A 25,807-nucleotide genomic window follows, 5' to 3' on the forward strand; every position below is an offset into this window, starting at 1 on the left:
GGCAGACAACAGGGAGTAGTAAAGTGTCTGTCTGTCTTACTTAAAGACATTCACATCAGTTATTTCCAACACTGTTAGCCCTGGAAAAGAAAGCTATCCCTGAACTTTGTCAGGCTAGTTTGTGATCCCTAGAAAAGATTAGTGATTAAGACCAAACCCTGAAGAACAGCATCATTAATGGGACAGATTAAAAAAAAAAGGAGCCCTGAAAGGAGGTGACAAGGAAGTAGGAGGTGAAATCAGGTACAAGTAATTTTTTAAATTAAGAAAAGTATAGCCCTCTCCCTCTCCCTCTCCCTCTCCGCACCGTCTCCCTCTGATGCCGAGCCGAGGCTGGACTGTACTGCCACCATCTTGACTCACTGCAACCTCCCTGCCTGATTCTCCTGCCTCAGTCTGCCGAGTTCCTGGGATTGCAGGTGCGCGCCGCCACTCCTGACTGGTTTTTGTATTTTTTGGTGGAGACGGGGTTTCACCGTGTTGGCCGGGCTGGTCTCCAGCTCCTGACCGCGAGTGATCTGCCAGCCTCGGCGTCCTGAGGTGCCGGGATTGCAGACGGAGTCTCGCTCACTCAGTGCTCAATGTTGCCCATGCTGGAGTGCAGTGGCGTGATCTTGGCTCGCTACAACCTCCACCTCCCAGCCGCCTGCCTTGGCCTCCCAAAGTGCCGAGATTGCAGCCTCTGCCCGGCCGCCACCCCGTCTAGGAAGTGAGGAGCGTCTTTGCCTGGCCGCCCATCGTCGGGGATGTGAGGAGCCCCTCTGCCCGGCCGCCCAGTCTGGGAAGTGAGGAGCACCTCTTCCCGGCCGTCATCCTGTCTAGGAAGTGAGGAGCGTCTCTGCCCAGCCGCCCATCATCTGGGATGTGGGGAGCATCTCTGCCCCGTCGCCCCGTCTGAGATGTGAAGAGCGCCTCTGCCCGGCCGCGACCCTGTCTGGGAACTGAGGAGTGTCTCTGCCCCGCCGCCACCCCGTCTGGGAGGTGAGGAGCGTCTCTGACCGGCTGCCCGGTCTGAGAAGTGAGGAGCCCCTCCGCCCGGCAGCCGCCCCGTCTGGGAAGTGAGGAGCGTTTCCGCTTTCCGCCCGGCAGCGGCCCCGTCCGGGAGGTGGGGGGCAGCCCCCGCCCGGCCGGCGCCCCGTCTGGGAGGTGGAGGGCGCCTCTGCCCGGCCGCCCCATCTGGGAAGTGAGGAGCCCCTCTGCCCGGCCGCCACCCCGTCTGGGAGGTGTACCCAACAGCTCATTGAGAACGGGCCATGATGACGATGGCAGTTTTGTCGAATAGAAAAGGGGGAAATGTGGGGAAAAGAAAGAGAGATCAGATTGTTACTGTGTCTGTGTGGAAAGAAGTAGACATAGGAGACTCCATTTTGTTCTGTACTAAGAAAAATTCTTCTGCCTTGGGATGCTGTTAATCTATAACCTTACCCCCAACCCCGTGCTCTCTGAAACATGTGCTGTGTCCACTAAGGGTTAAATGGCCCCTGCTCTCTGAAACATGTGCTGTGTCCGCTAAGGGTTAAATGGCCCGTGCTCTCTGAAACGTGCTGTGTCCACTAAGGGTTAAATGGATTAAGGGCGGTGCAAGATGTGCTTTGTTAAACAGATGCTTGAAGGCAGCATGCTCCTTAAGAGTTATCACCACTCCCTAATCTCAAGTACCCAGGGACAAACACTGCAGAAGGCGGCAGGGCCCTCTGCCTAGGAAAACCAGAGACCTTTGTTCATATGTTTATCTGCTGACCTTCCCTCCACTATTGTCCTATGACCCTCCCAAATCCCCCTCTCCAAGAAACACCCAAGAATGATCAATAAATACTAAAAAAAATTAAAAAAAAAAAGTATAGAAAATTTAGATAACTTTACCAAGGTCACACAGTCTAAGTATATATAAGCAAGCCCAAGGGTATATATACCCATGTTCCTCTGCCAGTGCTAGTGATCATTATCTGCATGTTACTAGAAAACATTAACATAAACTTATGCATCCAACCTATATTTTTAAAAAATTTAAATGATAATTAATCAACAAGTATTAGAAAACCTGTTTCCAGAGCTTCTGTTCTAAAGACAGCAAATGGCTTTTAGCACTTGAGCACAGTTCTGTTAACACACAGACGTAACTAGAAGTGAAATATTTTTAGATTTCACAAGATGAGACTTTTTAACATTGGCATCATGAATAATATTTCCAGATACCCAGTTATCTAGGACTGGAGAAGAAGTAGAGTCTGGGCGCCAGTGCAATGGCTCACACCTGTAATCCCAGCACCTTGGGAAGCCGAGGTGGGCAGATCAGTTGAGGGAGGTCAGGATTTCGAGACCAGCCTGGCCAACATGGTGAAACCCCATCTCTACTAAAAATTCAAAAATTAGTCAGGTGGCAGGCACCTGTAATCCCGGCTATTTGGGAGGCTAAGGCAGGAGAATCGCTTGAACCCAGGAGACGGAGGTTGCAGTGAGCCAAGATCGTGCCACTGCACCCCAGCCTGGGTGAAAAAGGAAGACTCTGTCTCAAAAAAAAAAAAAAAAAGTTTTATCACTTCTTTTTATCACATTGTTTCCTTTTAGTAGTTGCATATGTGTATTTAGTGTTTAGTTCATTTGTATTTCTGTATTTTGAAACATGACATTCTCTTTCCTAAACTTATGCTTGTTCTTCAATATGTATTATAAAAGTCATATTTTATGTAACTAACTATTCCACTTATATTTTGCAAATAGTTAACAGATTTATCAACTCAGTAAAATTGTATTTTTTTCTCTTAGGCTAGGATTTATTATCTCTATTTTCAAAATTACTGTTATTCTTAGAAGATTTTTTATATGTTTCTGTATGAGTCAGAACATGAGTTTCTTTTTTTGATTTTTCAGCAACTTGGTGGGTATTTATTTTTGAAGGACTGTCTAGAACTGTTGGCTTATTTATGAGCATTATTCTTTATGGACTATTATTTTAACAGTTTAGAAAAATACAGACCAAAAGAGCACAAAAATTCAAATGAAGATACCACCTTTAAACTCTGCTATTTTTACCAAAATGAACACAGAATACCATGTTGTTACTTAAACGTTTGCAAAGCCAGAATTGTAGAGAAAATATCTTAATAGAAATGGATATATGAAGAAAGTTAAAGTAAAAAAAAAAAAAAAACTATGCTCTTCTGAATTTTAGTATCCTGAGTACAGCATTTCTTTAGTTTTTGATGTCTTTTTATTTTAGTCTAACATAAGTAATGATGAAATATACTCAATAGGTAAAATGTAGCTATCACAAACAATAATGAGTATCTGATTAGGCAGAATTGGCAAGTTTTACATCTCTAGCAAAGACATATTTGATGAATAATACTAAAATGAATGAATTGGTGCATTTTAGAAAAATACATTTTGAAAAGATATGGCTCAAATCATCTTATTCAAATTTCAAAATTAAGAGAAAAACTAGAAAACTAGTATCAGCTAATATGAAACAAGTAGATTTAAGTATAGACTGATGCTCAAAAATGAGCCAACAGATCTAGACAGTCACCTCAAAAATAAATACCAGCCAGTGTATTGTGGCTTTTCAGAATATTTTTTATATAGGATTGGTATTATATAATAATTTGAAATTTTCAAACAATCTGTTACGTGTCTATTATCTAGTTTTTATTCAAAATTTCACCATTAATATTGAGTACTGCTTCATTTATTTAAAGTTAGAATTATTTCAGCAATACTTGTATCATTGTTATACCTTGAATTATAAATTCTTGTTAAATCAGGTAGAAAAGAACAGTTCATAGTATTACTAATGATTAACCTCTCCATTGTCAGTGTGATTATTTTTCTTAGTATGTGGCAGTTTAAATTTTAACATGGTGAATTAATCTCAGAATGTTTGCTTACATACATTTTTCTGTACCTTGATAGTATTTTTTTAAATTTCTCTGAATTTATTATAAAACTAAAATTCTAATTTTTAAAATAAAGACAACGGTATATACTGACATTATATCTGAACAAGCATATGATTAATATTTTCTTAATTGTTGATTTTTTCTTTTAATATTTATCTTTCCTAATTGACGTTTTCTTCTTGAAAATTGTACCTAAGTGAATACACAGTAGAAGGATCCAGTATACAGAAATATAAAAGGAATGAAATCAGCAACTCTTTACTTTGGAACACAGATGTAATACTCATTAGCATAGTTACGGTTATTGTTATTCTTATCTCTTAGTGTACCTGAAGCTTTCTTTGAAAGCTTTCAACCTTAAATGTGGCTAAATAGCCTGTTTTCTGCATTTAAGAACAAACTATATTTCCTCTTCTAAGTAGATTCAGGAATTAGTCTACTTAACATTTCTGCTATTTGTTTGGCTTGTTGCTCTCCATAGGAAAACTATTTTTCTAAGATATTTATCTATTACAGTAGAAAATGTTTTTCCTTTCAGACTGCTTTTTCATAGTGGCCTATAGTATAAATTTATTCCTTTCACAGTGTAATTTATCACTTTTATTTTTCCTATAGGATTTTCTGCCGTCTCTTGGCAAAAATGGCAAATAATGATGCTGTTCTGAAGAGACTGGAGCAGAAGGGTGCAGAGGCAGATCAAATCATTGAATATCTTAAGCAGCAAGTTTCTCTACTTAAGGAGAAAGCAAGTAAGAAAATTTAAAATTTTTTGAGGAGATACTTAAAATGAATTCATACATTGATGGAGAAAAAATAATGTTTACCGCTTTAAGTTATTTAAGTTTTACTTAGAAGTTTCTGTTATATGTAGAAAAATATCAAACCTGAATTTCTACCTTCAGGACTTCAGTTGGCTTTGGTTTTGTTTGTTTAAATGTATTTTATTTTCAGTAGTCAATGTCAGAATAGAAATTTCAAAATCTTTTGCTGTCACTAGTAGAAATAAATGCTTTCCTACGTTTTGTAAGCTAATGGCTTACAAAAACCTGTATTTACTCTCCAGAAACTTTATCAATTTTTTTCTAATTTTAACATACCACTTTGTTTCTTTTTTTATAGTGTTTCTCGAGATTTTAAAATTATTTTTCTTAAAAATTCTTACTCTCTTTTTATTAAAAAGATGAAGAGATTGGACATAGTCATTGCTCATATGATATAATATATGTTGTAAACCAAATTTTGTCTTCTGTAGGTGGCCATTTCCTAGCCTCTTGATAAGCATTTTAGTTTTGCCAGTTTGAAAATCTTTCTACTTATTCTTCACCTTTATATTATTCTTTGGTAGCCTATACTGGTAGTTTTTAGTCATATTGCTCCCAATTTAGGATGAATGTTTTATAAAATCTCTGTTAATATCCTGTAAGGAAAATATTTCCTAGAAAAATAACCTACCTATATATAATTTTAAAACATATCTTAATCCTATATATAAAATAGAGAAGAGAAATAAAAAGAAAGGTATAAGTAGTAGTAACAATAATATGTATTTCAGTAAGTAATACTTCAGCAGAATTATACCACTAAAGGCAGTGTAAGAGGGTCACATGCCCCATGATTCACATACATGGAATCATCAAGAATGCAATAGGTACAATGCCAACTAGTATAGGTATATAGTCAGACTGCCTTTGTGTAGGTGTCTCAGATACCAGAAGCAGATAGTGATATAGATGATTTATTCAAACTGATGAGTGATTGATTAGATAGTATTTTGAATAAAACAAGGTACAGTCTACTCTTGATTTATGTGGTACTTGATTCATAGAAAATTTAGGGTATAATAAGCATGCTTAAAAACACTTTGTGTTTATATATAAAGAATAGTTAAAAATCTAGACTCAAATAATTATTAATAGGATTTTTACTTATACAAATTTATGATAGGCCACTATAAAGTTCTGCAGGATGTGAAACAGTTCTTCATTTTGCAGGAGTATCCAGCATACTGCAGGACATCTGACATTCTTGGCTTCTGCCCAATAAATGCCAGTACTAACAATCAAAAATAATCCTACAGATTTTCAAAATCCTACCTACAAAGCAGTACCAACCCCACTGAGAACCATTATTTTTCTCTTATACTTTTGTTACCCCATTGCACACTTTTAACACATACATTATATTTTGAGCAAATCCTTGAGTTATTTCACTCATTGAATGTTTGATTAGCTTAACTCAGACTTTAGCAATATTCAGCTTCTTTTAAAAGGTAATGACTAAAAAGAAAGACATGAGAATAGTTTTTGCTTGTGTGGTAACATCTCAGAATTTTTTTAAAAATATATATATAATTTAATATAATGCTTCTCTTTTTTTTCAGCATCTGTTATTGACATTTTATCTTTTATTTTTAAAAATTTTTTTGAGACAGGGTCTTGCTCTGTTACCCAGGCTGGAATACAGTGGCACTATCTCAACTCACACTGCAGGCTCAATCTCCAAGCCTCGATCAGTCCTCCCACCTCAGCCTCCTGAGTAGCTGGGACCACATGAATGTACCACAACCCCCAGCTACTTTTTGTATTTATTGTAGAGATGGGTTTTGCCATGTTGCCCAGGCTGGTCTCAAACTCCTGGGCTCAAGTGATCCTCTTGCCTCAGCCTTTGAAAGTGCTGGGATTATGGGATTACAGGCATGAGCCACTACACCTGGCCACATATTGACACTTTTGTGCCAGCTTCTTAAGTTATTTGCCATTGCCTTTTATTATAGCCGCAATGCTGAAAAGGTGGTAATTTGATCTTAGTTAGCATCTTAATAGGAGCTAGGAAAATGATTCATAAACAAAGTCTTTCTGTTTTACTCTTATTTCATATATTTTCTCCCTCTCTCTCTCTCTCTCTTAAATAGCATGTTGTTTTAATAAATATTAAACTGGCATAAAGGCACTGGCCAAACATTTGGTTACACTAGAGCTAGTATTATCCTAGCTGTAGTTATACTGGCTGTCTTCTTTTCAAATAGTATTCATACAAAACCTCTTTTAAAAACATATTTTAACTGGATGTTCTTGATCCTAGTTTTGCAGGCAACTTTGAGGGAAGAGAAGAAACTTCGAGTTGAAAATGCTAAACTGAAGAAAGAAATTGAAGAACTGAAACAAGAGCTAATTCAGGCAGAAATTCAAAATGGAGGTAATTAAATATAGAAAATTTGAGTAATCCAGAAGTTAAGAAGTTGGCCAGTCACACCAACAGTGAGGAAAGAAGTAAGAATCTGTATCTAGGCAACTTGGACAACTTCATAACTTCTAAATGACTCAGATTTATCAATAAAATGGGGGCATGGATAGAACCTACTTCTTAGAGTATGAGAATTACATGAGTTAATTTGTATAAAGCATTTTGAAAAGTGTTTGGGGCATAGTAAGTTCATAATAAATGTTAGCTGTTCTTATTTGCAGGTTTCTCGGTTTAGTAATTGATTAAATGGGAATCATGCCTTTATTCTTTGATACCTCAATTATGGCTAAAATATGCCTAATTTTTTGGCAGCCATTTTATAGTCTCAGACAGTGGATATTTGATAGCCATATACAGTGAATTTTTCATTTAAAAAGAGTTCCCATTTGTGGTTCACAATTTCATATTTTTTGTCATATTTATTGGTTTAATATGAATGACATTATTTCATTTTCTGTCTCAGTGAAGCAAATACCATTTCCATCTGGTACTCCACTGCACGCTAATTCTATGGTTTCTGAAAATGTGATACAGTCTACAGCAGTAACAACCGTATCTTCTGGTACCAAAGAACAGATAAAAGGAGGAACAGGAGACGAAAAGAAAGCGAAAGAGAAAATTGAAAAGAAAGGTATTTTTGACCTTTAAGCATATTTAGCTCTTGACTGGATTATCAGAAAATGTCAAGTTTTGATAATGATAATAATAATAGTATCAAAAGTAAAGTTCAACTTTCATGAGCTAGGATAAAATTAGGAACAATATGATATTGGAACATAAAAGCTGGGTCCTAAATGGTGTGTGAATATTGACCAGATTAACGGGGTAAAAATGTGGCATTTTAGGCAGAGGGACTGGCATAAGTTAAAACAGACTGTAAAGGTTAAGTGTAGAAACCCATATGTAGTTTGGTATGGCTGAATTTTGGTATCTATTTGTGGTATAGTTTGAGAGAAGTCACAGATAGGAAACTAGCTTAGGACCAGTTGTGAAGATAGGAAAAGAACATTCCACCAGTCAAAACAGACTGTCTGAACTAAGATTTCAAGAATCCATGAGAACTAAAGTAGATAGAAATGTCACCATCCACTTAGGCAACAACCCTTGAAATTTAGTCATCAACCTTAACCTGTCCCTATTCCCTGTTCTTCATATCTAATTAACCAACAAATTCTATTATTCCTGTCCCCAAAACATACATAGACCCCAGCTCTGCTCTTTCTTTTCATTAGGTCCTACCTCAGTTCAGGTTTTCAACGATCTTTCATCTGAATTAATATTAAAGCCTCATCTTTTCTAGTTTATTTTTAGCCTTGCTGCTAAAGCTATTTATTCTAATTGTAAATCTGACTTCCTTTCCCCAGATATGTCTAAAAAGTTGCCTTTATAAATAATTATGAATATTTCTCATTATACTTAAACTTATTTACTTTTTTTTTTTTTTTTTGGAAAATATAACATGCAGAGGGATTTATGAACTAACCCAAGCCAATTTAGCCTCTAAAGCACTTGCCAGTTCCTTTGGCAAACATCAGTAACCTCTGTTAGTTAAAAGTAGGTAGGGGCTGTACAGCCTCTGCTATACAACTTCACCACTAGGTGGTATGATTACAATGAAAGCAAGTCAGACTAACTCTTCTAGTTTATAAAGTACGTTAAGAAGTAGACACAAAACAACTATATAACCTGTTCTTGCAAATTTGGTGGAATCCATATTCTATTCTCTAAGGAGGGTGCACTGTTCTGACTCAGGATTAATCAGTCTTCTAGTTAGAGAAGGCAACAAGGCTCTCCTTTGATGGAAGAGGGAGCACACAGGACCACAAGACCAAATGGAGTTATAAGATTAGAACACTTCTATCCAATGGAACTTTCTATGATAATGGAAGTACTCTATATCTGCATTATCCAACATGGTAGTCAATGGCCACATGTGGTTATTAAAGATTTGAAATGTGGGTAGTATGACTAAACTGAATTTCTAATTTAAATAATTTTAAATTTAAATTTAAATAACCTATGTGGCTGGCAGCTACCATATTAGACAGTGCTGGTTATAGAGGGCTGTTCCATAGGTGTTTAGCTGCTAGCTAGGACTGCCAGATTCTGCTCATGCAAGGGCTGTGGTGCCCATATGATCTTTCTAGACTGCTACATATCTTTTTTTTTTTTTTTTTTTTTTTTTTTTTTGGAGACGGAGTCTTGCTCTGTCACCCAGGCTGGAATACAGTGGCATAATCTCGGCTCACTGCAACCTCCACCTCCCGGGTTCAAGCAATTCTATCTTAGCCTCCCAAGTAGCTGGGACTACAGGTGCATGCCGCCATGCCTGGCTAATTTTTGTATTTTTAGTAGAGACAGGGGTTCACCATATTGGTCAGGCTGGTCTCGAACTCCTGATCTCAGGTGATCCACCTGCCTCAGCCTCCCAAAGTGCGGGGATTATAGGCATGAGCCACCATGCCCAGCTAGACTGCCACATATCTTAATTGAGCGTCACTCATTTGTCAGTGAAGGATTTCTGAAATTCCTTATGATAATTAACAAAGATCTTGGTATAGATTTTAATATTTGCAATCATTTCTAGAATGGGGATTCCTGATAAAAGTATTTCAAATGCCTAGGAAGTACATTAGAGTTTTAAAATATATACAAATGTAGATATATTGTTATACTACAGTATTTTTAAAGTAAATGCATATACTTTATCACACAAAAATATTAAGATTTTTGGCATATTCTGGTAATTTTGTTGTACATATTTTTCTGTATAATTTGGATTTTTACCTTTTGAAAAATTTTTGCTAATTTGTTTATGGAAAATGGAATTTTTTTAAAGCTTGCTAATGAGATTAAAAATTGGCCATTATTTTAAGTTAATTCCATCCCCTCTTTGATAAACTTATTGTTGTATGAATTATGAATACCTTTACACAGAATTCTCCTTTCCTGCTTCATGCAGAATTATTCTTCACTGAGTTTCTATATTTCTTTGTGTATGTCATGTTTATCACATATTCATTATACATATACATGTCTGTCTTCTTTAAAAGAGATTTTGAGTGCCTTGACAACATGGACTGCCCATCTTACTGTTTCCAGTGTCATAGCACTCCGTATGTTGAAAGATTAAATAAATGTATAGTTGAGAAAGAATGCTTCCAAGCTACAATAGCTTATCTCTGTTCTTTGGATTCAAAGGTAAATAAGGTTTTATTTTGATTTTACTTTTTTGGGGCCAGAAAAGCTAATTGTAAACTTAAAGAATATGAATCCTCTTTGCAGGTTACAATTAACTCAGTAGCTAAAATAATCATGTGTTAATAAGAGTTACATTTTCAGCAAATAAATAAAAATATAATTATTAAAACATAATCAGAATAAAATATTCTTATCTGCTTAAATAGTTACTGTGGATAACCCTAAAATCCTAATATATCTTCAGAGAAATCTAAGAAATGGAGAAATTAATTATGTACTTACTAGTGTATATAAGTGAGGAGGAAAATATTTAATGAGTGAAATTGCATTCTGCTCTAGTTCATTCTGTCATTTGGGTACTGGTTGTGGTGTTCTTTCTAAATAAAGTATTTATCACCTTCCAAAGAGCCATAGTAAAAGTTTTTAGAGGAGTCTCTATTATCCTGTTTCGGGGAAAGGCAAACTTTTTCTGCCTAAAGCCTTTGTCACAACTACTCAACTCTGCCCTGGTGCAAAAGTATCCATAGATGATATGTAAATGAATGAATATGGTTGTCTTCCAGTAAAACTTTATTTATGAAAACAGGCAACAGGCTGGATTTGTCCCATGAGCCATAGTTTGCCAACCTCACACAATGTCTTCAAATAGAAATACAACAGAGAAATAGCTAAAATAGGATTCAAGATTTTATGACTTGGATAATTTTTTTCTTTGTTATTATTTAAGTGAAGGTAGGAGATAAACATTCTTTTTATTTTTTCCTTTTAAGCTCATTGGTATGGATACCATGGAGTTTTCATAGTGTTTTTTTGCTTGGTTTTATTTCTGATGTTTACCCATTCATAAATACTTTTTAGGAGAGAAGAAGGAGAAAAAACAGCAATCAATAGCTGGAAGTGCCGACTCTAAGCCAATAGATGTTTCCCGTCTGGATCTTCGAATTGGTTGCATCATAACTGCTAGAAAACACCCTGATGCAGATTCTTTGTATGTGGAAGAAGTAGATGTCGGAGAAATAGCCCCAAGGACAGTTGTCAGTGGCCTGGTGAATCATGTTCCTCTTGAACAGGTAATCTGTACAACTGAAATTCCTGTTGTGTACATACAACATTTTCATTCCCTCCTTCTTGGTATCTTTCCATTATAATTTTGTATACCATACAACATGTGCCCTTGTTAATTAGTTCAGTCGATTAGTTTGAATGTGGTTAATTACACAAAAAAAGCATAAAACCACCAAAAACCTGTAAAACATCTGTAAATTAAGATATAATGCATAAGGATAGGAAGAAGAAAAGATGTATTATTTTATCTATTTTTAAAGTATTTTTACTTTTGTATTTTGCATTAAAAAACTATTGGTGTGTATATATATATAAAATATATTTGAAATCTAAGTAACAACAAAATACAAAACATCCCATTTTTAACAAATAAAGGAATACTATTAAAAATTACAAGTTCAATCTCCGTGATCCCCTCTCCTCATTTTTCCTCAAGTATGAAAATATTTTTTGGGTTTTAGAGAAATAAAACTTGCTCTCATGCTTTTAGATTGGTGCTTTCTGGGTTTATTTTACATGATTTTGAAAAGCAAGGAATTATAAAATTCCATGATGAAGCAGTGATAAAAATAATGATTATGATGACTATTGTGTTAGAAGTACTTAATAGATAAATTTTTTTCACATGCTATTTTATTTCTTACTATATACAACTGTCAGTTAAGTAGTATCACCCTCATTTACAGATGACGTTTAGGAAAGTTAACCAAGTTATGCTATATATATACAGAGATACATATATATATATATATACATATATATATAAGTTGGTTCACTTTTTTATGTATCTATAGATATATACTCATTATACATCTGTCTATATAGATATATATATATATACTCATTTATCTCACTCTGAGGCTGATTATCTTTAATCCCTATACTGTTCAGCTTTACTGTTTACCATTCAAGGTGGAGTTAGTCATGAAACTTCTAACTACAGGTGCTATGTAGTTTTTAGAGCCATGCATATGACCAAGGTCATAAATTACAAACTGCTGGGCCAAGGAAAGAATGCAATCCCAAAAAGTTTCAGTTTATCTTTCATAGTATTTCATAAAATACTTACACATGGAATTTTACATGAAAATCCTGATGTCTTGTTTCTTAAAAATTCAGAACTAAGCCCCACCCCTACCCTTCCCAACCCCCTGCTATTTTCTTAAGGCAGAAATTGGTTAACACTTAGTAATGGATAGCCCCTTTAGGTGGAAGTTAGACTCTTTAACACAGTTTCAACCATTCCATAGTTGAGGTGGAAGGTCACTTGTGATTATTTGGTATTTATCTTTACTTTTCTGCTAGTGTTATATTTACGGAAGGTTAAGAAGAGACTCGAGTATCTTTTTTTACCATGTCTCAAAAAAACAAGGGTGTTACTTGTTTTTTCTGTCTAGGATTCCTTACTCATTTCCTTTACTTATTTGGTAGACAGTTGTATCATAATTGCATCAAATTGCACTTTTGATCCCTAGCCTGGGCTTTTGTTTTGGCTCTCTAATTTCAGCGTTGCTGGAACACAGTACGGGTAATGGATCAATATTGACCTATCATCAAGAGTACAAGGAAGTGATTTCTTCTACTTCCTACTTAACAAGCTCATTTCTTTTAGGTCTCCAATGATTAATTATCCGAGCCAGTGAAGTTTGGGTTTTAAGTGTTTCATAAAAGAAATTGATAGGAGGTTAGAGTATCTCCACTTTTCCTTTCTTCTGGTGAGTTTAGCACCAGGGACTGTGCTTTGTGTAGCTTCAGAAAACAAACCATGGTTACAGTTTATATAATATTATTCCCTATTTAAAATTTAATTCTTTCTATAGTGAAATTAGAGCTGGGTATTTGGAATATGTGAAAAGTATTGATGGTATATTTTATGAAGGATAACCTTGCATGATAACCGTTTTAAAAGCAAATTGATACTCCATGATGATACCCTTCAGAGCAGTGGTTTCTAACTGTTGCTTTTTTTCTTATAAGCTTTCAAACCTCCTTCTCAACAAAAGTTTACTTTCTTCCTTTTTCTTTACTTTTGAATACCATATTTACTTTCTTGAAGAAATATGGTTTTTAAAAAATCTAGTAACAGTGGAAAGAATCGAAGACAGTAGCAGTTTTAAATGTCCTCTTTCTAGATGTCTTCTATGGTGGTTTGAATCATCTACCTATTTCCTCTGTCCCATGGTGCTTCAGAGATATTGCAAAGAATATGGACTTCAACATTACGATAGTTCTGCCTTTGTTTATTGCTACTCTGCTGCTTGTTGGTTTTGTGAACTTGAACAAATCCCTGTGTTCATTCAATTATATTTATAGCTGCAAGTATTTATTAAGCACCAAGCACCTAAGTAAAGGATACAGCAACAAATTAAAATACAGAGATAGATAAATTTCTTTTTTCTTTTTTTTTTTTTTTGGAGACTCACCCAGGCTGGAGTGCAGTGGGGCAGTCTCGGCTCACTGCAACCACTGCCTGCCTCCCGGATTCAAGCAATTCTCCTGCCTCAGCCTGCCGAGTAGCCAGGATTACAGGCACCACCACCAAGCCCAGCTAATTTTTTGTATTTTTATTAGAGACAGGGTTTCACTATGTGGGCCAGGCTGGTCTCAAACTCCTGACCTCAGGTGATCCGCCTGCCTTGGCCTCCCAAAATGCTGATATTACAGGTGTGAGCCACCACACACAAGCAACAAACATATTTTTAAAAATAGCCCTGCCTTTATGAAGCTCACATTTGTATAAGGGAGTCAGAAATATTACCAAGGTGTAAGTAAATATTTAGTATGTTAAATAGTGATAAGTGCCAAGAGAAAAATAGGGAAAGAATCTAGTAAGTATTGAGGCCAGGATGATATTGACATTTTATATAAAGTGCCCAGGGAAGACCTCAAAAAGAAAGTGACATTTGAGTAAAGGTCTAAGAAAATGAAAGCAAGTCATGTGTTTATCTGGCTGAAGAGCATTTCAGGCAGTCCTGGGAGAAATGGATGGCTGGGATGTTCAAGGAACAGCAGGAGGCCGATATGAATAGAGCAGGGTTAATAACTGAGAAAGTCATGGGAGATGAAATCAGAGATAAGGGTGCCAAATGTCTTATAGATCATTGTAAAGTTTGGCATTTTTTCTGAGTAAGATGAAAGCCATTGTAGGATTTTAGAGCAAAAGAATAACATTGGTCAGCCTGACATTTTAATAGGATCATTCTGGCTGCTCTGTTGATGGGAGGAAGATGGAATTAAGGAGATCAGTGAAGTTTCTCTTATCTAGGAAAAAAGAAGTAGACTTGGCATATGCATGTGCTTTTTTTACTTTTTAATATTTATGTTATATAGGACCAGAACTGATTCATAACTCCTTATGAAGTTAGGAGCCCTGGAGAAAAGAACCAACTGATCTTCAGCCAGCTTAAATTGGAAAAACTCCTCATTTGGGCTTCATCTTTTCTGTTCTTATAAGTTGTAGACTATTTTTTCTCTTCCAGCAGCCATCATTCACAACCATAAGCAAAGCTATTTTTATAAACATCTGTATCTAACCCATCAAGATACAACCTAAAATAAAAGTTAAAAAAAAAAAGATAGTACTAGTAAACATTCTATAAAGTAGGGACACTTAGAATTCAAAATTATATACTCTGTTTTGTAGGTGGTACATTTTTCTAGGGAAAAGTTTCATAGCTATCGTCAGATCCTTAAAGGATTGCATCTTACTAATCCTGTTGCTACTCTTAAACACTTTTGCTGTAACTTTTAAGTTCTCATATACGTGACATTGTCAAGTTATTTGAAGCATTCGAAGAGAAATATTATTTATGAAGACCCCCTAATTCATTTCGAATTTGACTCTTAGGCTCATTTTTTTAAATCATAGTATTTCAGAGTAAATTTGCATATAACATTTATTTATAAAACCATCTTTTATCTAGAATGCATCTTTTTTTCTCCTTTGAGCAATAGTTCTCTTGTATGATTCATTTTAAACTTGTTGAAAGAATTTAAATAACTATATTTCTTACTTTTGCTAGTTGGAGAAAAAAATTAAGACACTTCAAATATGAAGATTAAAGAAATTTCCGTTTGCTTCCATAAAAAATTTGTAGAACTAGCCCTACATGTTAGTTGCATGATGCATGATGCTGAAATTGTTAAATGATCTTTTTTTTTTTTTTTTTTTTTTTTTTTTTGAGACAGGGTCTCACTCTTGCCCAAGCTGGAGTTCAGTGGCATAATCAAGGCTCATTGCAGCCTCCAGGCTCAAGCGATCCTTCCACCTCAGCCTCCCAAGTAGCTGGGACTATAGCCACATGCCACCATGCCCAGCGAATTTTTTTATTTTTTGTAGAGACTGGGTTTTGCCATTTTGCCCATGCTGGTCTCGAAAAAAAAAAAACACTGGGCTCAAGCAGTCTGCCTGCCTCAGCTTCCCAAGGAGCTGGGATTATAGGTGTGAGCCACCACACCCAGCCAATTTTTTTTAAATTAAAAAATAAATCTAGCATAGCTCTGGAAATGATCAAATGTGTAGGGAAGAAAATGCACATGTGTAAATGTGTCCATTTATTTTAATTCTAATGCTAGGCTAAATGCTTTATTATGCATGTTATGATTTAATCCTTATGACAACTCTTCAATATTATTTCTCTCATTTTTTGAGGAAACAGGAGTGTCAACTTTATGCATTCTCATTGCTAGTACATGGCAGCTGAAATTCAAAACCAAGTCTGTTTCACTCATTTATTCATTGAGTAAATTTTTAACTGAAATTCCTCTGCTCTTTCAACCATAATGCGTTATCAATTTGGAGGAATTTTTTTTTCATGTTTATGCAAAGCTTCGTAACAACAATAAGAGACTTTGGGCACACAAAGACAAAGGTACATCCACAAAAGTAGAACATTTGATACTTAGCATATTAGGTGTAGCTTAATGTAGTCTGGATATGATTAGGCTTAATCTGTGTACATCTTTACTTACCAGTTTATATTTCACACAGATGCAAAATCGGATGGTGATTTTACTTTGTAACCTGAAACCTGCAAAGATGAGGGGAGTATTATCTCAAGCAATGGTCATGTGTGCTAGTTCACCAGAGAAAATTGAAATCTTGGCTCCTCCAAATGGGTCTGTTCCTGGAGACAGAATTACTTTTGATGCTTTCCCAGGTAGGTATTTATTAGTAATTACTTAATAGTTTCGGAATCAGTTCTCAAAGTGATGTTTGTAATGCTTAAAGGTTAAAATCAGTCCTGTGTAAGAATCATGAGTCTTACATTAATGACCATTATTAACTATTATTGAGTTTTTCAAGATTGGCTCAAGATGACACATTGAGTAAACCTTGTAATCATTCTCCTCCCCATGAATGTACATGTTGTATAAAACACCTGATATGGTTTGACTATGTCCCCACCAAAATCTCATCTTGAATTGTAGTTCCCATAATCCCTACATGTCATGGGAGGGACCCGGTGGGAGGTAACTGAATCCTGGGGGCAGGTTTTACCTGTGCTGTTCTCATGATAGTGAATAAGTCTCATGAGATCTCATGGTTTTATAAAAGGGCAGTTCCCCTACGCATGCTCTCTTGTCTGCTACTATATAAGACATGCCTTTGCTCCTCCTTTGTCTTCTGCCATGATCGTGAGGCCTCTGCAGCCATGTGGAACTGTTGGTCAATTAAACCTCTTTCTTTTATAAATTACCCAGCCTCGAGTATATCTTTATTAGCAGCGTGAGAATAGACTAATACAGTAAATTGATACTGGGTAGTAGGGACACTGCTGTAAAGATATCCGAAAGTGTGGAAGCGACTTTGGAACTGGGTAACAGGCAGAGATTGGAACAGTTTGGAGGGTTCAGAAAAAGATAGGAAAATGTGGAACAGTTTGGGACTTCCTGGATACTTTCAGGGCTCAGGAGATAGGAAAATGTGGGAAAGTTTGGAACTTTCTAGAGACTTGTTGAATGGCTTTGACCAAAATGCTGATAGTGATACGGACAATACAGTCCAGGCTGAGGTGGTCTCAGATAGAGATGAGGAGCTTGTTGGGAACTGAAGCAAAAGTGACTTTTGCTATACTTTAGCAAAGAGACTGGTGGCATTTTGCCCTTTCCCTAGAGATCTATGGAACTTTGAACTTGAGAAAGATGAGTTAGGGTATCTGGCAGAAGAAATTTCTAAGCAGCAAAGCATTTAAGAGGTGACTTGGGTGCTCTTAAGCATTCAGTTGTATTCATTCACAAAGACATGGTTTGGAATTGGAACATGTTTAAAAGGGAAGCAGAGCATAAAAGTTTGAAAAATGTTCAGACTGAAGATGCAGTAGAAAAGAAAAACCCATTTCTGCCAGCTGCAGAAATTTGCATAAGCAATGAAGAGCCAAATGTTAATTGCCAAGACAATGGGGAAAATGTCTCCAGGGCATTTCAAAGACCTTCACAGCAGCCCCTCCTATCACAGAACCTGAGGCCTAGGAAGAAAAAATGGTTTCCTGGGCTGGGCCCAGGGCCCCCGTGCTGTGTGCAGCTTAGGGACTTGGTGCCCTGCTTCCCAGCTGCTGCAGCCATGGCTAAAAAGGGCTAAGGTACAGCTCAGGCCCTTGCTTCAGAGAGTGCAAGCCCTAAGCCTTGACAGCTTCCACATGGTGTTGAGCCTGCAGAGGCACAGAACTGAGGTTCGGGAACCTCCGCCTAGATTTCAGAAGATGTATGGAAGCCCCTGGATGTCCTGGCAGAAATTTGCTCTAGGGGCAGGGCCGTCATGAACCTCTACTAAGACAGTGCAGAAAGGAACTGTGGGATGGGACCCCCCCACACACAGAATCCCCACTGGGGCACTGCCTAGTGGAGCTGTGAGAAGAGGGCCACTGTCCTCCAGACCCTAGAATCATAAATCCACTGACAGCTTCCGCAGTGTGCCTGGAAAAGCTGCAGACATTCAACTCCAGCCTGTGAAAGCAGCTGGGATGGTGGCTGTGCCCTACAAAGCCACAGGGGTAGAGCTGCCCAAGGCTGTGGGAGCCCACCTGTTGCATCAGCATGACCTGCGTGTGAGACATGGCGTCAAAGGAGATCATTTTGGAACTTTGAGGTTTGATGACTACCCTGTTGGATTCCAGACTTGCATGGGGCCTATGGGCCCTTTGTTTTGGTCCAATTTCTCCCATTTGGAATGGTGTATTTACCCAATGCCTGTACCCCCAATGTATTCTGGAAGTAACTAACTTGCTTTTGATTTTATGGCTCATAGGCAGAAGGGACTTGTCTTGTCTCAGATGAGATGCTGGACTGTGGGCTTTTGAGTTAATACTGAAATGAGTTAAGACTTTGGGGAACTGTTGGGAAGGCATGATTGGTTTTGAAATGTGAGGACATGAGATTTGGGAGGGGCCAGGGGCAGAATGATATGGTTTGGCTGTGTCCCCACCCAAATCTCATCTTGAATTATAGCTCCCACAATTTTCACCTGTCGTGGGAGGGACCTGGTAGGAGGTAATTGAATCCTGGGGGAGGGTTTTTCCTGTGCTGTTCTCATGATAGTGAAAAAGTCTCATGAGAGCTGATGGTTTTATAAAAGGGCAATTCCCCTACACGTGCTCTCTTGCCTGCTGCCATGTAACACATGCTCCTCTTTAACCTTCTGCCATGTGGCGGCCTCCACTGCCATGTGGAACTGTGAGTCAATTAAACCTCTTTCCTTTAGAAATTACCCAACCTTGGATGTATCTTTATTAGCAGCATGAGAACAGACTAACAGAACACCACAGAGAGATTTTGTCCTAACTAAAGCAATAATATTAATACCAGCGTAGCAGAAAAGTATGACGTGGATAGAGAACAGATTAATGTGCTGCAAAATCTCTTATGCTGTAGATTGTCTCATGCTGCAGCACAGAAAGACAGAGATGAAAAGTTTAGATTTATAATTATAAATTCCATCTAATAATATACTTGCATATGTTTTTACTCAAATTCAGGATATAGAGAAAATATCTAAGTTAAAATGTAATGATTTTAATAATCTAAAAGGAAGTTTCATTTTGTATTGCCTGTTTTCTCTAATAAAAATACTCCTGAGACAGATGAAGCTTCATAATGTGTGAGAAAGTTTCTTCAAATAGGTCTTTGAAGCAGAAGAGAAAAGATTCTTGGCAGATATAGAATAAGTATTTATCTCATATAAGAGGAAGGACCTGATAAAAAGAAAAACAGTTAGAAATTAAGACTGCATTTAAAGGATATTTATTTGACTAGAGTAATTGGGAAAGGCAGATATAAATGAAGATAAATAGAATTAGGTAAAAGAACAATTTGGAGACATATTTGTAGAAATGACTGAGGATTTGTGTGTGTGTGTGAGCGAATTATTTTGTAATGGTGCAATAAAATTAAACTAAGGTTTTTTGGGTTTTTTTTTTTCCAACTTGTATTTTAGGCTCAAGGGATACAGATTTCTTATATTGGCAAATTGTATGTCCTTGAAGTTTAGTATAGGAATGATCCCATCACCCAGGTAGTGAGCATAGTACCTAATAGGTAATTTTAGAACCCTCACCCCACTCCCGACCTCCCTCCTAGTAGTACTCAGTGCATTTTGTTTCCATCTTCATGTCTGTGTATACGCAATGTTTAGGTTTAGCTCTCACTTATAAGTGAAGACATACTGTATTTGATTTCCTGTTCCTGTGTTGGGTTACTTAGGACAATGGCTTCCAGCTGCATCCATTTTGCTGCAAAGGATATTAATTTCTTTTTTTAAGGCTGCATGGTATTCCATAGTACATGTGTACCACATTTTTTTAATCCAATCCACTGTTGATGGACACTAGAGTTGATTGCATGTCTTTGCTATTGTGAATAGTGCTGCAGTGAACTTACAAGTGTATTTGTCTTTTTGGTAGAATATTCTATTTTTCTTTGAGTATATACCCAGTAATGGGATTGCTAGGTCAAATGGTAGTTCTGTTTTAAGTTCTTTGAGAAACTCCAAACTGCTTTTCACAGTGGCTGAACTAATTTGCATTCCCTTTTCTCTTCCACCTCACCAACATCTTATTTTTGTTTTTTGTCTTAGTAATAGCCACTGTGACTGGTATGAGATGGTATCTCATTGTGGTTTTGATTTGCACTTCTGTGATGTTGAGTGTTTTTGATATTTGTTGGCGACATATATGTCTTCTGTTGAGAAGTGTCTTTTCATGTTCTTTGTCCATGTTTTAATGGAGTTATTTGTTTTTTGCTTGTTGAATTAAGTTCCTTATGGATTCTAGATATTAGAGTTTTGTTGGATGCATAGTTTGCGAATATTTTTTCCCATTCTTTAGGCTGTCTGTTTACTCTGCTGATAGTTTATTTTGCAGTGCAGAAGCTCTTCAGTTTAATCAGCTCCCACTTGTCAACTTTTATTTTTGTTGCAATTGCTTTTGGAGACTTCGTCATAAATTCTTTGCCAAGGGTGATATTGAGAAGGATATTTCCTAGAATTTTTGCCAAGGGTGATATTGAGAAAGATATTTCTTAGATTTTCTTCTAGGATTTTTAAGTTTTAGGTCTTATATTTAATTCTTTAATCCATCTTGAGTTAACTTTTGTATATGGTGAAATGTAAGGGTCCTATTTCATTCTTCTGCATATGGCTAGCCAGTTATTCCAGCACCATTTATTGAATAGAGAGTTTTTTTCCCATTGCTTGTTTTGTTGACTTGCTGAAAATCAGATGGTTGTAGGCATGCAGCTTTATTTCTATGTCCTTTATCTTGTTGCATTTGTCTGTGTGTCTATTTTTGTACCAGTACCCTTCTGTTTTGGTTACTGTAGCCTTGTAGTATAGTTTGAAGTTGGGTAGTGTGATGCCTCCAGTTATGTTCTTTTTGCTTAGAATTATTTTGGCTATTTGCACTCTTTCCTCATTCCACGCAAATTTTAGAAAATTTTTTTCTAATTCTGTTATAAATGATGTTGTATGTAGTTTGATAGTAATAGTATTAACTCTGTAGATTACTTTGGGCAGTAAGGCAATTTTAACAATACTGATTTTTCCAATCCATGAGTGTACAATGTTTTTCCATGTGTTTGTATCATCTGTGATTTCTTTCAGCAGTATTTTATAGTTCTCCTTGTAGAGATCTTTCACCTCCTTCATTAGGTTCATTCCTAGATATTTCATTTTTTGTGTGCCTATTGTAATTGGGATTGTGTTCTTGATTTGACTCTCAGCTTGAACTTTAGTGTATAGAAATGCTGCTGATTTTTGTGCATTGATTTTGTATCCAGAAACTTTACTAAAGTCATTTATCAGCTCTGGGAGCCTTTTGGCAGAGTCTGTAGGGTTTTTTAGGTACAGAATCATAAATCAGTGAAGACAGATAATTTGACTTCTTCTTTTCCTATTTGGATGCCTTTTCTTTCTCTTGCCTGATTGCTCTGTGTAGGACTCCCAGTTCTATGTTGAATAGGGGTGATGAAAGTGGGCATCCCTGTTTTGTTCCAGTTTTCAAGGGAAATGGTTCCAGCTTTTGCCCATTAGGTATTATGTTGGCTATGGGTTTGCCATAGATAGCTCTTATTATTTTGAGGTGTGTTCCTTTGATGCCTAGTCTATTGAGGGTTTTATCATAAAGGGAGGTAGATTTTATTTAAAGCTTTTTCTGTATCTGTTGAGATGATTATATAATTTTTGGTCTTAATTCTATTTATGTGGTGAACCACATTTATTGATTTGCATATGTTGAACCAGCCTTGCATCCCAGAAATAAAGCCTACTTGATTGTGGTATATTGCTTTTTGATGTGCTGCTGTATTTGATTTGCCAGTATTTTGTTGATGACTTTTGTGTTAGTGTTCATCAGAGATATTGGCCTAAAGTTTTCTTTTTTCCTTGTGGTCTCTGACAGTTTTTGGTGTCAGGCTGATGCTGGCTTCACAAGGAAGGAGCTCCTCTTGCTCAGTTTTTTGGAATAGTCTCAGTAGGATTGGTACCAGTTCTTTGTACATCTGGTAGAATTCAGCTGCGAATCTATCCGATCCAGGGCTTTTTTTTTTTTTTTTTGAGACGGGGTCTGGTTCTGTAACCCAGGTTGGAGTGCAGTGGCGTTATCTTGGCCCACTGCAATCTCTGCCTTTTAGGCTCGAGCCAACCTCCCACCTCAGCCTCCTAAGTAGCTAGGACTATGGGCATGCGCCACCACACCAGGACTTTTTTTAATTGGTAGGTTTTTATTACTGGTTCAGTTTGAGAACTCGTTATTGGTCTGTTCATGTTTTTACTGTCTTCCTAGTACAATCTTGGGAGGTTGTGTGTTTCTAAGAATTTATCAATTTTCTAATTTGTGTGCAAAGAGATGTTTTTAATAGTCTCTGAGGTTCTTTTGTATTTCTGTGGGATTGGTTTTAATGTCACCTTTGTCATTTCTGATTGCAAGTAGCTGAATTTTATTGAATAGCAAGGCTGATGTGATTATATAGGCATGTTTTAAAATTCTCCGTTAACTGTGTTTAATGAAATATTACAATATGAAGAGTTTTAACATGGAATAGTAAGACAGAAAATATGGATGAAAGCATGGAATAATTTCCTTGGAACTCATTTCTACTCTCCTAATCAAAAGTAGACTAGTCTAAAAAAAGCACACAGGGGATTTTCTTTTTTTTTACAAGTACCCATGACTTTGAATGAATCTGTGTCTTGAACCTTGGTAGATGAGAAATCATAGTGGTCTATGCTCTAACAACATTTTTTTGGAGATTACATTTCGAGAAAATCTCAGTCTCCATGATTTCTCAGAGATGCCTAATGGCTTTAGATTCATGGAGCATATGCTCACCACTCTACTCCCACCAAGCAAAACTAACTTGAAAACAGTACTACAGCTAGGAAACAAAGACAATGCCAGGTCTTTGTGAGAATGCACTATTTATGATCAAATAATAAGTAGGAATTTACAGTCAGACTTTTAATTTCCAAGATCATGCTTATTTCTATTGATATCGAGTCGTATTAATAGTAGAAATTAATAGATAATTATGAAGCATAGGTTTAACTTAAAAGTCCATTTATTAAAAATCCAAATTGTCTATACTTGATTCCTCCTCTTGAAAACCCATTTTAATCAGGTTTCTTTCCCCACTGTGTTTTGCCAGAACTGCTTTGGGTAAGATCACCAGTCACTCCCTGTAGCTATATGTCTAGTTCTCAGTCTTATTATTAATTAACTTGGCTTCTGGCACCACACTCTCCTGGTGGTCCTCCTTCTTCACTGGCTGCCCCTGTCATTTCCTTTGATGATTCTTCCTTACCTCCTTAGATTCTTACTGTTATAGGGCCTCAGACCTTGGATTTGGACCTCTTTTTTTTCCATGCTTATTCCTTTGGCAATTTTACCCAGTCACTTAGATAAGCTAGATAGCTGCCAAATGAACTCTTTGATGTACATGTTCCAAGGGGGAAGGACACATATCCCATTCTTCCCCCTAGACTTTCATTTTTCCATGGTATTTTTCATCTTATTTGATAGGATTTCCATCCTCCTAGTTGCTTAACTGCTTTTCTCAATCTGTACATCTTCTCCTCAGAAAATCCTAGTGGCTCTACCTTCTGAACATACCGAAAATAATTATTAACTCCACCACTAGCACCCTAATCCCAAAGCCAACATCTCTTTTCTGCATATTTACAGAAGTCTTCTAACTTATCATCCTGCTTTTGCCCTCCCTGTTCTTCCATTTATTTTCAATTAGAGCAGGCAGAGTGATCTAGCAGATTATATTACTCTGCTCAAAACTATTCAGAAGCTTTTCATCTCACCTAGAGTACAAGCCCAGGTTCTTACAGTGATCTCCCATTATTTTGTTAATCTCATGAACTCCAGCTTTTCCTTGTTCACTCCACTTGAGCCACTGGCTCTTTCCCAAGATAGCTGCATGATTCGCTTACTCATCTTATTCATATCTTTCTGAACCTCAGCTTTTTCATCTATAAGAAGGGGTTTTTAGTTGGTATTTTTCTTAACTGGGTTTGTAAGCTTTAACTTTTGAAACATTTAGCCAACTGCCTGGTATTTTAAATTCTTTGCTATAACTTTTGTGCTTCAATATCCTCATCTGTAAGATGAGAGTAATGAATATTACTTACATATGTACTGAGAGGATTAAACAAGTTAATATATGTACAGCACTCAGTACAATGACCAGCACCTAGTAAGCACTATATACGTGTTGTGTGTTATTATGAATGTTATCTAGTTTATATGGCACTTTCTTTCTAGATCTGAGAAGGTTAATTTTGTGCTGCATCACAGCTTTTTATACTTAGGGCTTATGTCTGCTTGCAGCAAGAATTTACCCACACAATCTATATTCTTTATAAGAAGCCTGTATGTCAGTCTGCTTCTTAACTAACTCATTATCAGTTTGGCAACATCCTTTTGGGCCAAGGTTGCAAAGGTTGCAAATCTGAGTCAGTGCTTAGGTCTCCCTGAACAGTATCTCTCCCTCTAGCCTTCCAGAATCCTGGAGTGCCTGCTTTGCCACACAATATATGCACAAGATTATGATTATAGATTAAGGAATGATTTACAAACAAAAAATAAAAATCTTATGGATCTAAGGAGCAATATAATTGAACTTTATTTATGGTTATTTTTTTTCCATTCTATTTATTAGTTTCTCTATTGTCGAATCAAACGTCCTTAAAGGAGTAGGAGAAATTCTTATTTTTTATACCAGTCACTTTCAGTCTTAGTTTCATTACAAGTTCTAATGTAGGTGTATCATTCAATTAACTACTCTGTTATCTCTGAAAGCCTGCATGTTAGAAGGCAATGTTGTATGTTCTTGCAGTTTCATAGTTTCTGAAGAGCTAATAAACAACAAAACTACAATGACCAACTAATTTACACAGTTTTGTTATTCTTATATGTATATGACTGGAAAATAAATACTATTTTATATAATAAGATGTCATCAGAATATAAAATATAAATATAAAATATATTTTATATTCCTAATATAAAATATAAATATAAAATATATTTTATATTCCTAATCTAAAATATAAATACTTCCAGTAATTAAGTAATTCCAAGAGATCTCAACTTAGGAGTCAGTGAAAAAAAGATCTAGAAGGTTTATATTTCTATCATTACTTAATTATACTTCAGCAATTTTTTTTATTACCTCCAGGAAAATAATTGAATCATCGAAGTTCTACAGCTTAAGAGATATGTTACTTTTCTTCATTGTTTCTTGAACTGACTGATTCTTCATTCTAAATATTGAACATTCTCAGCTATTGAACTTATATTAAACTTTACTCTCTACTTTTCTGTCATTAAGTAGAGGAGCTGTTTGGTACATTACTTGTCTTTAAGCCTAGACCAGATATACTCTACTACTAATTTTTCTTT

The 25,807-nt window shown here is 36.4% G+C and overlaps 1 protein-coding gene across 5 annotated transcripts in view; it reads left to right on the plus strand.

The window, feature by feature from the left end:
- The window catches only part of AIMP1 (aminoacyl tRNA synthetase complex interacting multifunctional protein 1), a 33,913-nt gene that overhangs the window by 4,927 nt on the left and 3,179 nt on the right, over positions 1 to 25,807 (plus strand). For 4 of the 5 annotated variants that reach the window (NM_001142415.2, NM_004757.4, XM_047416410.1 and 1 more), the window contains exons 2-6: positions 4,515 to 4,648; positions 6,981 to 7,094; positions 7,606 to 7,773; positions 11,202 to 11,413; positions 16,399 to 16,567. In NM_001142415.2, coding sequence (NP_001135887.1) covers positions 4,540 to 4,648; positions 6,981 to 7,094; positions 7,606 to 7,773; positions 11,202 to 11,413; positions 16,399 to 16,567 — 772 coding nt within the window. In that variant the 5' untranslated portion in view covers positions 4,515 to 4,539. Of the gene's footprint in view, positions 1 to 945; positions 982 to 4,514; positions 4,649 to 6,980; positions 7,095 to 7,605; positions 7,774 to 11,201; positions 11,414 to 16,398; positions 16,568 to 25,807 lie in introns of those variants that run through there. The other variant, XM_017008835.3, reaches the window with a different exon arrangement.

Source organism: Homo sapiens, chromosome 4 (genome assembly GCF_000001405.40).
Source record: "Homo sapiens chromosome 4, GRCh38.p14 Primary Assembly".
NCBI lineage: Eukaryota > Metazoa > Chordata > Mammalia > Primates > Hominidae > Homo > Homo sapiens.